Below are 17,570 nucleotides of genomic sequence, written 5' to 3' on the forward strand. Positions count from 1 at the left end.
AGGGAGAGGCATGTGAGGTGACCCTCTCAATGTTGTCTGAACAATGAGGCAATCATTACAACTCACATTCTATCAGTTTTTATGTGACACTGACCAAAGGCAATTTGGGGCTCCTTTCAAGCAGTTTGCATCAAAAAAACGTTGAATGGCATTGTCACCAGGACTACACTACAACAAAAAGCAACGATTGAGAAAGGCTGGTGTCTAACTAGAAGACAAGAGTGCTTTAGATATGGAAGCCATTGCTCTGATATTTTAAAATACATTTTTAAAACAACCTTATTATCGATTCATTTATACAGTCAACTCCATTCTGCTTAGTACTCGAAGTGTGCACTCATGTGGATAATCTAAAACATTGAGAATTCAAATAACATTTATATTAAATCTGACATAATAACCTAACGTTTTAGGGTATGCCTAAATTTGCCTTTCTATTTCTGTTTATTCTGGTAACTTTTGAATTTGGTTCTCTGGCCCTGGAAATGCCACATTTAGCCAAAGAAAAACAGTTTTGATTAGGGGATAGCATTAATCATTAGCTAGTTAAGTGTACACTAAGGAAAAATTAGAGTCATTATTTTGATGAGTTGTGCATAAGTTATGGTCAGCACAAGAAAACAGGGCACCTGTTCATATTTGGTCACCAAAGAATGTTCTACATTTAATTAACCACTTAATATTTACACCTTGAGAAAAAATTATGCCACAATACAAGCATAAGTGTTTTTGATAAATATTCAAATATTAGAAAAATATATTAAGATTTAAATATTTCAAGTTTGTTTCAGCCATAAAATTCTGATCATACTCTCCCTATCTACCTAATTGCTGCTAACAATAATTCAAATGCCAATAATGATATATTTAGATAATTGATTTTAAAGAATTTATCAAACAAAAAATAGAGGATACCTATAGGTATCTTCTTTTTCTGGAGAATCAAAACATAGTATAAAATGGAAGCTTTCTTTGTGCTGTAAAGAATTCAATACATTATGGGGCAAATAAATCTATTTTGAAGGTTTTTTTTTAATTTCTGGTAGACTAGAAAGGAAGGATCCAACTCGGATGTTCATTTATTTAAAATCAAACATAGAAGATTAAATTCATACAAGCCAAAGAACATCTGGCCCTTCCAGAAAGAGAATAGAGTTCTAAATGCTGAAATCAGGTGAAGCATACTTAATTACTGGTATCCAGAAAGAGCAAAAGTGAGACATCCTATTATATTTATTCTAGGACAAAATATACCATTGCCTATGATTGTGGGTTTTGGATAAGAAAAACTTACAGTCTTAAGCTGATCGTGAGTCAATAATGGAGCTACTGGGACACAAATCTGTACCCTTTGTCACTCTATGGAAACTCTTCTGTCTCACCACAACTCACTTTTGTCTGTTGATCAAATATTTCAGGGCCTTCAAACTCATATAACATGTTTCTCCTAGAAAGAGCTGCTTATCTTTTCCTAACTAAGAGCAGGGAGTGCGCCATGAAAATGTTGTCATTGATGAGAACCCACTTTGATTCTGATAGAGAGTAAGTTGTGCTCTTTTGCTTTAGTCATGCTGTGTATTGTCTATAACTCTATTGTACTATTACATTCCTAAATTTGGCTATAACAGGTGTATCAGTTGATTCACCAACTTTCAAGAAATGTTTGACACTATCTACTAAAGCTAAACATAGGTAGCCTATGACTGTGCAATTCTATTCTTATACAAAGTCCCAAGACAAATGACTGTACATGTCCACCAAAAGAAAATGACTAGAATATGTTTAGAAACTTTATTCATAATAGCTCCAAACTGAAAATAACCCAAATGTCTATCATCAGGAGAATGGGTAAAGAAATTGTATTATATACAATACAAAGGAATACTACATTGCAATAATAATGAATGAACGAAGATGTACAAAACAGCATGAAAAAGATTAGATATTTTTAGTTGCATGAGAAAAAAAAGCCAGATACAAATGGCCCATATAGTATGATCCTATTTATATAAAGTTCAAAAACAGAAAAAAAAATAGGTGTAGAAAACAAAATGGTAGTTAATTCTTGATGGAGAGCTTTGTCTGTGAAGGGGCATTAGGAATACTTCGGGGAGTGGTAGAAGGGTTCCAAATATCTGGATAGTGGTTACACAGGAGCTTTACACATTAGATTTGAGCACTTTGTCCATAAATCATTCCTCACAAGAAACACGTATCGTTATTTAGGATTTAGTCTATGCTAGGTATTTATATAAGAACACCAACAAACAAGATGACAGGTAATTGCATGCTTAATTTTTTTTTGTGTGTAAGTCTTTTTAATATAGATTGAGAGTAACGTGAAGTCAGAGACCTGTCTGACTAAATTTTGTATTCTCTAGGATGCGAAATATTCAGGCTCTTAAGAAAGAATATAAGCCGGGCATGGTGGCTCACGCCTGTAATCACAGCACTTTGGGAGGCCAAGATGGGCAGATCACTTGAGCTCAGGAGTTCCAGACCAGTTTGGCCAACTTGGCAAAACCCTGTCTCTACTAAAAAATACAAAAATTAGCCAGGAGTGGTGGTAGCGTGCCTGGAATCCCAGCTACTGGGGAGGTTGAGGCTGGAGGATCCCTTGAACCCAGGAAGTGGAGGTTGCAGTGAGCCCAGATCATGCCCCTGCACTCCAGCCTGGGTAATGGAGTGAGAATCTGTCTCAAAAAAAAAAAAAAAAAAAAAAAAAAAAAAAGAAAAGAGAAGAGAAGACAAGAGAAGACAAGAAAAGACAAGAAAAGAAAAGTCTTCTCCAACTCTACAGTGACCGAGGAAATAAAAATGTATGTACCTATGTTGGTTGCTTCTAACTAGAATCAATGTCTCTGTCAAAGTACTTTCTGCCGCCAACTCTTTGACAAATAATCACTTGTCTTCAAGTAACACAAGGATCACCTTAATTTTGATTAATGTCAGCTATGGTAGAAAAGAAAAAAACTTACTGGATAGTCAGGAAAAATACTCTGAAAAATAGTACTTAATTCACATAAGATATATATCTCAGTAAAATTAAAATAAAGAGCCCCTAAAAAGATTAATTATAATAAAAAGCATTATATCAAGTGTGCTTTTCACATTATTGCCTTTTGAAACATTGCTCTCATTATACCCTGGGGGAACTGATTTGGTCTTAATGCCAAGGAAAGAAACAATAAGAAACTAAATCACATCAGTTGTTGAATAAAACTGTTGAAATGCATATCCTTGAAAATGGATTTATGAATTGATCAATGGATCCAGAGGTTATTTCTGACCAATGGCATATAAAATGTATCAAAAATCGTTGGATCTCTCTACTTTTCACTGAAGGAAAAATATGTTCTGACTCTGGATGAGGAGATATGGTTTGATTTTGCAGGCTCCTAGGATCTGAACTCACCCTCTCAATTGCATACTTTACAAAAGTGCTCAGTCACCTCCTTTCAATCTCCAGAAGATAATATTTCTTAGAGCAGAGAGACCATTTTATTGATGTTGGATTTTTGCTCCTAGACATGGAACTAATCCTATTAAAGAAAAGGGAAAGGGAAGGAGGAAATAAGATGACATTGAGAAATCATGACTCCTGGCAAGAGTAACGCATATTACATAAGTACTTAATAAAAAATATGGCAACAAGGAGAGAGGGAGGAAGGGAAAAGGGAAGAACAAAAGTAAGAAAGAATGAAAAAAATGGAAAGAGAAAAGAAATTAATTTAGCTTTAGTTAACAGTAAGAAATGAAGATTGAATAAAAATTAGGATGTTCTCTTGCTTTTCTGTTAAATGTGTCCAGAATTACAGAATTATTTTAAAAAATTGAAAAAAGAAAAGGCTGGATGTGGCTAAAGTTTGTGGTTTGGAAGGGGAAATGGTGTTATTCAAATTATGTTTGGAGTCTTGCCCTCTCATATCAATCCAGAGAAAGTCGGATGTTTTCCTGAGACTCTCGGCATAAAAAGATGCAGGAAATTTTCCCCACAGAATGATTTAGGCTATGAAAATTATTCACTTTAGAAAAGAAATGAATCATGTATTATTGTTAACATAAGATTTGTCATTCATTTATAACTGGTTTAAAACAGCTATTTGTAAAACCACCACAGTATTTTAAAAATTAATTAACTTTAACTTGACGAATAAAAAATGTATATATTTATCATGTACAAGATGATGTTTTGAAATATATATACATTGTTGAATGGCTAAATGGAGCTAATTAACATATGTATCTCACATACTTATTTTTTTGAGATGAGAACACTTAAATCCACTCTCTCAGTGATTTTCAAGAATACATTGTTATTAGCTATAGTCACCACCTTGTACCATAGTTCTCTTGAACTTATTCCTCCTATCAAACTGAAATTTTGTATCCTTTGACCAATATCTCCCCAACCCCTCCTCTCCCCAAGACCCAGGTAACTACCATTCTACTCTCTGCGTCTATGAATTCAAATATTTAGACTCCGCATATAGATGAGATCATGTGGTATTTGTCTTTCTGTGCCTGGCTTATTTCATTTAACATAATGTCCTCTAGGTTCATTTATGGTGTCAAAAATGACAGGATTTCCCACTTTATTAAGGCTGAAGTGTATTTCATTGTGCATATATACTACATTTTCTGTTTCTATTCATGTTGATAGCCATCTTAATATTGTGATGCATTATAAATAAAATATGTATTCAATTTCCTATTATGTTACAGCCATTCTCTGCAATATTGACACACAACATAGGATATTTGATAAATTTATCATTGAAGATAAATTCAGAGGCTATGTAGGAAAATGTACAAAGGATAACTGCATTGAATGTGATACTGGACTACTAATAATCTGTAATTTACCTTTAAACTAAAAATATTTGATTCTACAACTAGGCAAAAGCCAAGATTCTCAGGCTAATGTATAAACATTAAAAGATCCAATGGGAAGACATTAAGTGCTTACATAACAATGATGAGTTAAAATTCTCTGTCACTTTGCACTATAAAAAGTTTAACAATTCAATCAAAAGAAGTTATAACAAGTTAAAAGTGTGTTTATATAACAAATAGATCCTTCCTTAATATTTATTTTATAATGAACACATATAAAACTCCTTCAAATTATTTGGAACATTAGGTAACATTATATAATTTTTGCTAAGTTTCAAAATGTTCACTCTGCAAATGCATATCATGCCATAGGTCTAGAGAGATGAGAGGTATGGATGTGAACTAGTAGGAAGAGTATTAACTTAGGAGGCACACTGATCAGGGTATGAATTGTGATTCCCCTGTTTACCAGCTGTGAGATCTTGAGAAAAATACTTTAATTGCTGATGCCTCAGTTTCCTTATCTGTAAAATGTGAATTAACAGCACAGCTCTCTCATAAAAGGCTACAGGAAGGATTAATAGAAATACTGCTCACAGCATTGTATCAAATAGCTGAGCACATTATAAAACCTCAATAAAAGGTAATTTATTATTAATGTTAGAGAAAAGTTTAAATTATTAATATTATAAACATTGTCAACTTTTCCCATTACAATCGTTCTAACAAAAGCCAATGAATAGGGCTGGGGGAGAGGTATACTAATTAAAATTACAATCTAACTGGGGAGAGAAAACATTTCAGAGTTTTACTTATTAAGTGCATCCTGAGTAAGCTGAGTTGGGGAAGAAAGTGTTATGGTACCTAGAAAGTTTAAATTATCAATGCACAGTAGGGATCATGTTAAAATGCATATCATAGCATAAAGTTTTCCAATCTATTCCAATTCACGTTTGGTATAATAAAATAATTAGATATCTGTTTTACATATCACATGTAAGCACAACCTAATCCTCTACTATTATTTCTTTATTATTTGCAATCTCTGATTAGTCATCAATGTAAACCTAACTTTATTAAAACAATATTTAAAATGGTATTTGCCAAAGCTTAAACATAGTTTCTCATGTCGGACCCCCAAGCAGTTTTTAACATGAAAGAAATATGTTACATTTACTAAACGTAGCCATGCACATACATTTTCCTAGAGATGTGCCTATTATTAAGTCTATGGAACATCTCCAGTAGCCATTAATGTCTTTCCCGAAGTTATATGGCATTTCATGAATGTACCCACCTGGCAGGCCTCTGGTTGGCATTCCACAACAAAGAGTTAAAACATCCCATTAATGAAATTTATAGTGCTTTTTGACATCATTTCTGGTGGGGAGGGAAACTGCAAGTCACTTCTGTTATGGTTTAACTTGTTATGCTATTCCAGAAGATGAATTCATTGTCATAAATATTCAGCTTCACGCCAAAGAAGAGTGAACCCAGCTGGTTGGTCCTTGTCCTGTCCTCATCTTCTGTCATAATTCTTACAACTAGCTACAATGAGGCAGAGTCTTACTTCCCATGCAAATTAGTCATTTACTTTGATTTCCAGCTTCTGACTTATAAATATGCATAATTTTATAATTGTTAAATAATAGAAACTTTCAATAATCTGACCAAGTATACATTGTTCCTTTTAATCTTTTGATACTTTTGCAATAATTCATTGTCTTATTGATTTGTACCCTCTATGCAAATCTACTTCCCCATTACTCATACCGCACACACACACACACACGTAAACCTATAAGCAACATACTTGTTACTGTATAGATATTTACATATTTTATGTTTACTTATAAATATAAATTGTACATATTTTATATATTTATATATTTTAAGTAAAATATGCGGGTTTACTTTCTTTAGAAATGATGTGCTCTATACTAATTTGCATGTTATTTGGTATGGCATATGCCATATATTTAAAGCATTTAATGGCAAAAAAACTTTTTAACATCAAGTTTCTCTTGCTCCCTTAAAAATGCTCTTTGAGCCATTTTAATTAGACTGAAATGAAATAGATTCCTTAGGCAACAGCATAAAAATAGTAAAGTAGGTTTTAAAAGTCTTATTGGAGAATAATTTCAAGTATGGTTTTATTTGATGTAATTATTTATGGATTAAACACACAGATAGCAGAATAGATGAATAATGAGCATTCCCTCAACTCAGGCAATTTAAACTGAATTTTCTTGAGCTTTTGGACTTTCCTTTAATTAGCTTGGATCTGGTTAGTGACTATATGGAAATTAATATTTGTTTTCACCATCGCTAGTTTCCAAGTCTGGATTTCAAGAATTGTGCTCCTCAGAAAACCTCACCCTTCAGTAACTTTTTCCCATAAGCTCATAAATTGTAATTATGCTCTCACAGACTAAATGTAAGATCCTACTAGTGTTTGGTTTTTGTAAAACTGTAAGAGCAATCTGTGCAAATAATATAACGTGACTTGGTTATTCTTCAAAATATTAAACCAGTACCATTATTGCTACATGCCTTTTCTAATTTTCCCACATTTTATCAGATTAAATAAGTACCTTCCCATATCTTTTGGGGGTAATTTTATCAGTATCAAAAGCCCTGTCAGAGTCTCAGCATTAGCATTTAGCTATAGAACCAGAATTTTGAATTTATGTCCTAGTTTTGCCACCGTGTTATTTAGACCCAATTTCCTATTCAATAACAATCAAAATATAGCCTGTCCATCACCCAGATGATCTCTATATCAACATCAGAGAGTGGCAGATGAAGCTCTAATCCCTATATCAGTTGCACACATATTGCTTGTAATCGTGCACATCCCTGACTTTTGAGTAATTTCTCGGAAACCCTTACCCATCATTATCTTGGGATTTTGACTTCTTAAAGAATAGATTTCTCCATATCTTCTCTTCAGAGCCATTTTAACTTCCACTTATGGTGCAGTGGTGGCTAAGTGTAGTTCATCTATTTCATGAAAAATATTTTGGTGCTGATTTTGCTGATTGGTTGAGTTAACCAAATGTTCTAGTTATTTGACTAGGGAGGGTTTTTTGTTTGTGTTTTTACTCTTAAGCATAAACATACTACTTTGCCAGAAGTCTCCCTTTGAAGAGTCTTTCCATGGTCACAGGAAAATTGGCTTTCTCCTGATTTCATAACAAGGAATACAAATTTACACTTTATACAAGATTAGGGTGAGCAAATTCTAAACGATATTATTCTATTTTTGAACTTCGGCTTGACTTCTGAGAGGGCTTGACTTCTGAGAGGGCTTGACATGCAGCAAATGTTTGAGAATCAAACTCTTAAATTCCAATCCTTACGGTACCCTGTGTGATTCAGAACCAGTGAAGCTTGCATATTGGTAAGGTAGTGGTAAAATTTAAAAAAAAAAAAAAAAGCAAAACGAACAGAAATGTTACAAAGTAAAGGTTGTTTTTGTTTGTTTGTTTGTTTGTTTGCAGGGGAGAGAGGAACCAGGAAAATTTTGCATGAGGAAAAATATAAGACACGACAATAAATATAATTTAAAAGATAGGGCTGGGTGCAATGACTCATGCCTGTAATCCCAGCAATTTGGGAGGCCAAGGTGGATGGATCACTTCAGGCCAGAAGTTTCAGACCAGCATGGCCAATATGGCAAAACCCCATCTCTACTAGAAATACAAACATTAGCCAGGCGTGGTAGTGCACGTGTGTAGTCCCAGCTACTAAGGAGGCTGAGGCAGGGGAATCACTTGAACCCGCGAGGCAGAGGTTGCAGTGAGCTGAAATCACACTACTGCATTCCAGCTGGGTGACAGAGTGAGACCCTTTCTCAAAAAATAAATAAATACATAAATAAAATAAACAATAGCAGTTAAAAACAGTATAGTTTGTTTATAATAAAAACGTATTTAAAGCATAAGCAGTATGTAGTTGATTCATTTTCTTTAAAATTGGAGAAGGTTAATATTGGATACCTTAATCTTTTGCTCTGTTGTAATCCATATGAAGATTTAAAGGTTTTTGAAGCATTTTATTTTTATACTATTAAAGAAAGTATAAAAACTTTTGGGTGACTCAAAAGCAGATTAACACAAATGGGCAGATTGATGACTAGAAGTTCCTCAAGTAATGATATATGAAAGAAATTCATGTTCCACATAAAGAGAAAGAAAGCAGTGAACGACTTGTGAAAATCGTGTTTCTATAAATCTTTGAATATGATATGCTGTCATCAATGCTTAGCAACTGCAGAAATATGCGTCACTAACGAATCAGATTTTATTAAATGTATGTGTGATGTGTGTGTTTGCATTTGCACGTATATTTATCCCCCTTATCTGCACAGCATCACTATTACTTACGTAACTGCAGTTACTCAGTTAAACACATCCTAATAGAGAATATAAAATCATTCTCTTGAGAATCTAAGCAAATTGCTTGGTTGCATTTAAGATCCATCATGAGTAGCTTTTCCTGTGTCAATTCATTATACCCAAGGGCAATTCCTCTATTTCATCCTTTTTCAAGGTCATGGGTTGAGCTTGATTAATATGACTGGAAAACAGAATCATAAGTGGAAAATATCGGTCTGGTATCAGAAAAGGTTTTGCTAAGAAACTGAATAAGGGAAAGCTTCATAATGAAAATACTGCATCATAAGATAAGAGTTGTATTGGAATTTTAAAAATTATTTTGGGGGTGATGAATAAGAACCATAACAATAGATGTTAAGGCTATGGTTCAATGGCTGTAAAACAACTTTCTATACGTAAAAATGTAGCTGACAATATATCCATAAAATAGAACAAAAAATGAATTGAGCTGAGCACAATTATGTTATTTAAAAACTCCAGAAGCATTAGATTGGAACAAGGAAAGTCTAAGTGTATGGGCAAAACGCACTAAGTCTCTGACATGCCATGTATAAATATTCATGGCAATAATTTTCCCATGAGAGGAAAAAAATGTTTTAGGAAATGTTTGTAAGTAGAAATAGGGTGGTTTTATACTTTCTTCACTAAAGAAATCTGTAGATTGAGGGGAGTTTAAAAATATTTCCTCAAAGAAGAAACAATCAGAAATTCCCTCTTTTTTTATAAGATACAAAAAGACAATAAATATGTTCTTACCACAAAATAGTGGAAATAGTTTAACTTTAGGTAATGGTTGAAGGAAAAGTTTGCTGAAGCATAGGATGTAGCAATGAAAATAAACGAGGTGTGAGGTTTCACGACCAATGATTCACACCTAGGATTAATGCCAGAATTCTTAATAGCTGATCTCGTAGGTGGGATTATATGTGGCATTCTCATATATGTCTCTAATGGTTGAATGTCTTCACTGTGGATGCTTTTGCTGACAGAAATTACTCAGTAAAATCTGTGGGCTTAGCCTAAGTTTATAATTTGCTGTTACATATTTTTTCTTCCCCAACCGGATCTTCTGTCACTTGAAGCATCTCTACGATAATATCAATAACCTCACCAATCTCCAAACCAAAATCATCATGCCAAAATGTTCCTATGCCTAGCAAACTAGTTTTCCCTTTGCCAAGTACAAAACCTTCTGACTTGACAAACTACAAGATACCATACCAGGGTAGTTTAGGCAAGTGTATATCACAGCCGTATTCATCTATATTTAGCTATTTACAGTGTATCTGGCTTTCCCAATTAGGTTGTTTGCCAATGAAGACAAATGTTATATTTTATACATCTTTGATCTCCCACCAAATTTTTACTGTGCCAACTAATAGTGTTTATTCAGTGGCTAAGAAATCACACTAAATTGGATTCTGTTCATCCCCAACTTGTTAAAATATGTAACAAATCCTTGGACTGGGATTCTTCCTGCCTCAGATTTCACTGTAGAATCAACCCAGCGGATACCATAATACAACCCGCGTATTACACAAATCTCCATATGCAGAATTTACACATGTGATGTGGGAGAACATATTCCATTACTCTTGGACCTCTCAGTTAGCATAAGGTATAAATAGAGGTCCAAGGGTCAGAAATAGAATTTTGGAGAAAGCCTGTTATCAGATTTCTCCAGAGAAAGTTATTGCTGTGTTGTAAGTCCCCTTTCCTGCTTCTATGGAGGGAGGGCTGAGAGGTGTTATCTCTCTGCAATGGAAAGACACAGAGGACAGGGGCCTGACTCATTTCTTAAAAAGTTAAACTTTACTAGGCTCTAACCCATGCCAGAGAAATATATACAGAGACTGAAAGCCTGACCAGCTGCTTTGATAGCAGAAACAGATAGGAGAGTACCGCTGTATTGAGATAGGGCACAACCCCCAGAAGTTGTGAGAACCAAGGATGTATAGGGTTTTATCTGGATCAGATGTAGGCCAAGACAGATGGGGGTAGGGAGTCACTTCGGATAAGCTAAACTGGGGTACAGGGGTAAAGGAACCTCACCACAAAGAGACCGGCCACACACCACAGGGTACGCAGGGGCTGAGGAAGGAGCCACAAAGGAATTATCTGCAATAGAAATATCAGCTAAGGGAACTGCAGGTGAGAGAATCCAGCAAGGAATCTTTAAAGATTCCATGAAAACACTCATGAAAGGAAAAAAAGATGGCTTTTATATTGGCCTGGTCTACCTGAAAACCTCAACTTCAAACGTTGGCCATGGCCGAGGGTTTATGAAGCCACCCAGATAAACAAGAACTGTACTATTTTTACACCTCCTCTGCTCTACACATCACTTTGGTCCTGGTAGAGCTAACACAGCATCTAGGTAGTAAGAGACTCTAAGAGGAGCTAATGCTATACTTCCGTTTCCAACCACAGGCTTCTGCACTAAAGCAAACCTCACCTGGGAGAGGATTTAACTGTTGATTACACAAGCTTTTAAGTTTGGATTAACACCTTGGACTCCATTCTAATTACTGAATTGGCACTATGTTTGTGATCTAAAGTGTCTGTAGAGCTGTGGAGATGTCATGGCTCCGCCAGAGGTTATGTCCAGGAACACATGAAGATATGCCACACTGTAACAAAGTGTAAGGAGGACAGAGAGAGAGAAAAGGAAATCTTTTTTGCTTACATCATGAGCTTACATCGAACACAGTGGTTACAAATAGATGAGTTTTTTAGTTAGTAAAATGAATTCTCCCTACCTAAAGTAATTTTATGTAGAGTCAGACGAGGAAAACTCAATACGTGTTATCTCCAGCAGCCTGTGGCACAATCTGAATTGTTCGTGCTTTATGGGGAAAGAAGTGTGTGAAGAAAAAAATAGTAGTAGTAGCCCATGAAAATTCTCTCTTATGGGTTGTTTTCCTGAGAATGTGTCCAGCTGATTTTATTAAGGAGGGGGACTGACTGTCAAAGACAACAGAGGTGCCCCCTTAGTACTCGAAGAATTAGAAAATGTGTTCAGATAATAGCTTGAACCCCTAGGTGTGCCAAGAGAAAGGGAGACAGCAGGCTCTTAAACAGTGTTGTTAAAATTCACATTTATTTAAAACACAGCAATTAGCTAACAAACCTTGGTGACAGACTGCTATGAATTTTGTGCTGACTCCGTACACATAAATTAAACCATTCCAAGTTCCCCACGTGCAGCTTTTGACATTTGTTTCGTACAAGTATGCTGGCCGTGGGGAGGCATAAACTTTGCTTTTAATTCCTTTGGCAACAGCTGTGGATCATTTTGTTAAATTTCTTGTAAGAGATTCAAAAACACTTTTCTGAAGACAAAAAATGTTGTCTCCATTGCATGTTAAGCTCTAAAATGTATTCTATATGAGTAGTTTTCAAAATGGTTTTTAGATCTGACTGCAGACAGTTAAATATTATGGAATTATGGTATATATAGTTGTGTGCCACATAACGATGTTTTGGTCAACAATGTACTACATATAAGAAGATGGCCCCATAAGATTAGAATACTATATTTTTACCGTACCTTTCTAGGTTTAGATACACAAATATCACTACGTTACAACTGCCTACAGTATTCAGTACCACACCATATGGGTTTGTAGCATAGGAACCAGAGTCTATACCATTCAGCCCAGGTGTGTAGTAGGCTCTCACATCTAGGTTTACCTACGTATACTCCATGATGTTTGTTCAGTGACAAAATTGCCTGAGGATGCATTTCTCACATGTATCCCAATCATTAAGTGACACGTGACTGTAATTTTTTTTTTCCAATCAAGTGCTCCTCTAGTTGCTTTGGATAAACCCATCAAAAAAGTAGATAAAAACCCCTAAGAACTACTCCCCCATACACACACACACACGCATCCTGCAGAAAGGGAGAGAGAAAGAAAAGATGTCAGATTTCAATAATTTCTAAAACGTAAGAAATCTCTCTAACAAAAAGGCATAATACCTCAAAATTAAGTATAAAATCAAAAATTTTACTTACAAGCCTTTTCCTTTTAATTATGGTCATTAGCATAAACACTCTGATTCTCTGAGCTATTTAAGCATAGGATTTCTATTTTTCTACTCTGTACATTCCCTGCAAGACTAGCAAAATAGTAAGTATATAGTAGGTGGTCAGAAAATATAGGATTGAATCAAGCAATATGGCAGTAAAAATGGTCCATTGTAAAATGTTGAGTATGACATCATTTCGAGTAATCAAGTAAACATTAATTATTTCATAAACAATTATTTAGTATCAAGGCATTGATTGATAAAATGTTTTCTAACTACATTGGGCCTTAGCTTAGACCTTTCTTACTGAAAATATGGTCTTTGACTCAGCAGCATTAATCCCATCAATGTCCCATCCCAGAACTACAGAAGAATCAGAATCTATATTTTAACAAAATTCCCAGGTGGTTTATACATGCATTACAATTTGAGAAGTGCTAATTTATACCACTGGTTTTCAATCAAAACTACTCGTTAAAATCATCTGGTGTTGTTTTAAAAAAATAAAAAAAAAGAGGGAAAAAAAAAAAACTATTCCTGAGCCACACTCCAAACCAATTAAATACGCATATGAGTCCAGGGATGAAGTTTCTTTTTTAATGCTCCATGAAGTTCTCAGGTGCAGCCAAGTTGAGAAACATTGATTTAAACAAAACAATGAAATATCATGCTGGCTATGCTGGAATTTTCTGAAATAAATGAAATTGAGTTTTGAAATTAAATCAGAGGAAATAAACTTCTAATACCATATATGAAAACTCCAGTAAGACATTACTTAATACCCTACAGATTTTAGGATCAAATGGAAAGACACATTAGTCTAAATATGCCCTCTAAGGCTCATAAATGCAGTCCAACAAAATATCTTATTCTTATTCTTCTTTGACTCAAAATCATCTTAAACAGTTAATATCAGTATGCAGAATAAAACTGAACTTTAAAGTTCTGCAAAATTAAAGCAAACTTTCCTTACTGAGCCTAAAGAGGATCTAATGTGTCATATTTCATCTTTAAAGCCTGAAACACTGTTTTCCCCTAGGAAAAATCAAATGAATCAATCCTCCCATCAAGTAAACTAATATCTCATTATGACTTAGATTCTTGTTAAAAATTTGGCAGAGTATTCCGATTTGTTTTCATATATCACCATAACTATATAGCACATCCAGAAATCTCCAGAATGAATAAATATTCTCCAAGCACACGATAACTAAATTGACCTAACATTTTGTGTTAATTCACACCATCAATAAAATGACTTTCAAAAAGGAAGACTTTTCCTAAAAGCTAAATAATACAATTGCCTGGGTATATCATATTTTTTTGACGATATTGATGAACAAAAATAAGAGATGATTTTTTTTCACATTTAATGTGGAATCCAAAAGCGTCTAAGCAAAAAAAGCTTGCATTCATAACAGATAAATCAGGAATGTAGAAAATATGAATTCTATTTTTAATTCTGGAGAAAAGGGTAAACAAAAATTCAAAGAGCGTAATTAAAATAATTTAAATGATTTATTTTCTTATTTAGTCCTCTATTCAACCTAAGGAAGTAGCTATTATTACCCCCACTTTCCAGAAGAGGAAACTGATGTACAGAGAGGATAGAAACGTTGCCAAGGTCATACTTTATACTTTATTGAGTAGAATCTTATGATGATTTGACTCTTAGAGTCTTTGCAGTCAGACAGACCTCCATGAAAATCTCTAATATACTCCTGGTTATCAAGACTCTACTTCTCAACCAACAAGAGTGGAATTCCAGAAGTCTAGCCCTAGAAACTTACAGCAAATGTCTAGTGAACCTTAAAACGTCTCTGGGATCCACCGTCTGATGCCAAGTGCTTTGCCTCTGTCTCTCTAAATGTTCTGGTCTACATCAAGGCCATTCAGGTGTGTTAGAATTCACTAGGTATATTGAAGTATACAGGATATCATCAATGCTTTCTAAGGACATAATCAGGCTTGCATCATTTTCACTTTATAAGTAAGTCAAACTTCAGGGACTTTTTCATATTTTTTAATCAAAAAGGGAACCATTGAAGATAAAGGAGAAAACATAAAAAGCCCTTGCTGTGTAAAGATTGACAAACAAGGTAACTTAAGTATGACATAACTTTGCTCACTTTAAGAGTTGGCCTGGAAACATTTCTTTGTTCAATAATAGAGTCAAGTCTTATCTCAGATGATTTTTTTAACCTATTATTTTTCAGCAGATGCATCTGTGTAAGAGGTAGTAACATCCGATGTTATATTCCTCCGTGTTGGGAGTTCACTGGTCACTCAAACTGCAGAGACCACAATTGCAGGCAGTGCTATTCAGATGGACTAAAAATCAAATGAAGACCCAGGAGTTGTGTGATGCGATGGCCTCATATAAAGGGTAGGTGGCTCTTTCTCCCTTAATTATTTCTCATGATAAGTATTGATAAAGCTTCAAGGGTCAGCAAAGTATGTCCTACAGGACAAATCCAGCCCACCTCCTGATTCTGTAGAGCCATGAGCAAAGAACAGTTTTAACATTTTTAGATAGTTCAGAAATTAAAAAGAAGAATATTTGATGAAACCTGAAAACTGTGTAAAATTTAACTTTCAATATCTATAAATGAGTTTTTTTTTTAACACAGCCATGCTCATTCATTTACTTATGGTATATGGCTGCTTTTAAGCTATACACCAGAGAGTCTGGTGTATACCATGGCAGAGGTGAGTAATTGTGACAGAGATTGTGCAGTGTAAAAAGCCTACAATATTTACTATCTGGCTCTTTAAGCAAAGGTTTGCCAACCTCTCTCTGACACAATAATGAAAAAAAGAAATGTCTTTCAGCTTAGCAAATATGGCAGTGACTCTGTTACTTGCTCTTTCTTTTGGCCAGAAAATAAACTGAATCTCTGCAAGCTTCCGTTTCCTTCTATGCATTGTGGGGATAAAGAACTGGCTCATAGGAAAGAATTCATTTAGCAGACTGTTTTGCACATAAAAAGCACTTAATAAATTAATGTTTCCCTTAAGTTGGAAGCACTTAGCACCTTTTCTCCTCCTCTATCTGCTAAAATCGTACTGGTCCTTCGAAGGCAAAACAAAATACTGTATTTTCATACAATCTTCTCTGACTGCTCAGGTTAAATTAGTTGCTCCCTCTATGTTTCCACAGCATTCTGTTTACCAGTCTGTCATATTATGATCCTCAATCTACCTTGTACTTTGGTTATGTCTAAGACCCTTCTTAAATGCAGATATTATTTCTTATGAATTTCATGACTTGCATAATGTTAAGCACAGATAGGGCCTTATACACAGGGGACATTCAATGTTTGCTGAACAAATGAAAAGCTGAATGAAGATGAAAATGAACAACCAACTGGGGGTATTTAAGTAGGTTTACTGCCCTCCCAAATAATAGGCAACATGTTATCTAGGAGGTTCAGTCAAAGGAATGTCAGGGAAAGGCTTTCTCCAACCAGTATCAAATATTAGACTGTCTAATTTATATCTTGCTATATTTTACCTATGAAGATATATATTCCACTTGGCTTTAGGGTATAAATTAAAATATGTCATAGCAATAGCAACTGCCAGAGTCAAAAGAGGCATTTAGTGAGAAAATGGTAGCTCATAAAATGAATATGTTAATTAGGAACTTTTAATACTTTCCATTTTTTTCTGCTGCTCAATCAGTCTTACTCCATCCTGTATTACTAACCCGAATGGCTTTATTAACCACGTTCTTTTCAAAAGTCAATTTGCTCTATCTTTAAACACCACACACACACACACACACACACACATACACTACCTCACACATGAACAAATACACTTTTAAAAAGCTAACAAAAGGAAAAGAAACTCAGGGAAAAAATCTATGAAGTGACTTATATCTCAAAAAGCTCTTATTAAAGTAAAAGCAATAAAAACCTGAATTATAGGAGAGAAATAAATCTCTTCTCATTGGTTATCTGCTTCAAGGAACTGATGCCTTGAGGAATCAGATGTTTCATGCTAATTTAAATTTTTGGCACCTTCGATTACATGAAATCTAAAAGATTGCTTTCTAAATAATGACAACAGATTTCCTGACAATGCGAACAACAGATGTCACCAAGGTAAGCAATGGAGGTTTAATTGAGTCTTAGTCCTTGGAAAGGTGATTTCGTCTGAGAGGAAATCACAGGTTACATAGTTGATTAATGCAACTTAGATAACTATGCTTGATTGGCTGGCAGCACAGCATCTCCAGGAAGAACCCCAGTCTATCATCTCAATGCTCTGATTCATCTTTATGCCAAAATACAATGT

The 17,570-nt window shown here is 34.7% G+C and overlaps 1 protein-coding gene and 1 long non-coding RNA gene across 8 annotated transcripts in view; one reads left to right on the top strand and one right to left on the bottom strand.

Annotated features, from left to right (window-relative positions):
• FGF12 (fibroblast growth factor 12) overlaps positions 1-17,570 on the bottom strand; it is a 588,152-nt gene that overhangs the window by 110,373 nt on the left and 460,209 nt on the right. The window lies entirely within an intron of this gene.
• Positions 1-17,570, top strand: part of FGF12-AS1 (FGF12 antisense RNA 1) — a 44,468-nt gene that overhangs the window by 11,133 nt on the left and 15,765 nt on the right. Inside the window, exons 2-3 of the long non-coding RNA NR_046596.1 lie at positions 15,485-15,654; positions 17,241-17,377. This is a non-coding gene — a long non-coding RNA (FGF12 antisense RNA 1). The remainder of the gene's footprint in view (positions 1-15,484; positions 15,655-17,240; positions 17,378-17,570) is intronic.

Source organism: Homo sapiens, chromosome 3 (assembly GCF_000001405.40).
Source record: "Homo sapiens chromosome 3, GRCh38.p14 Primary Assembly".
In the NCBI taxonomy this organism is placed as follows: Eukaryota; Metazoa; Chordata; class Mammalia; order Primates; family Hominidae; genus Homo; species Homo sapiens.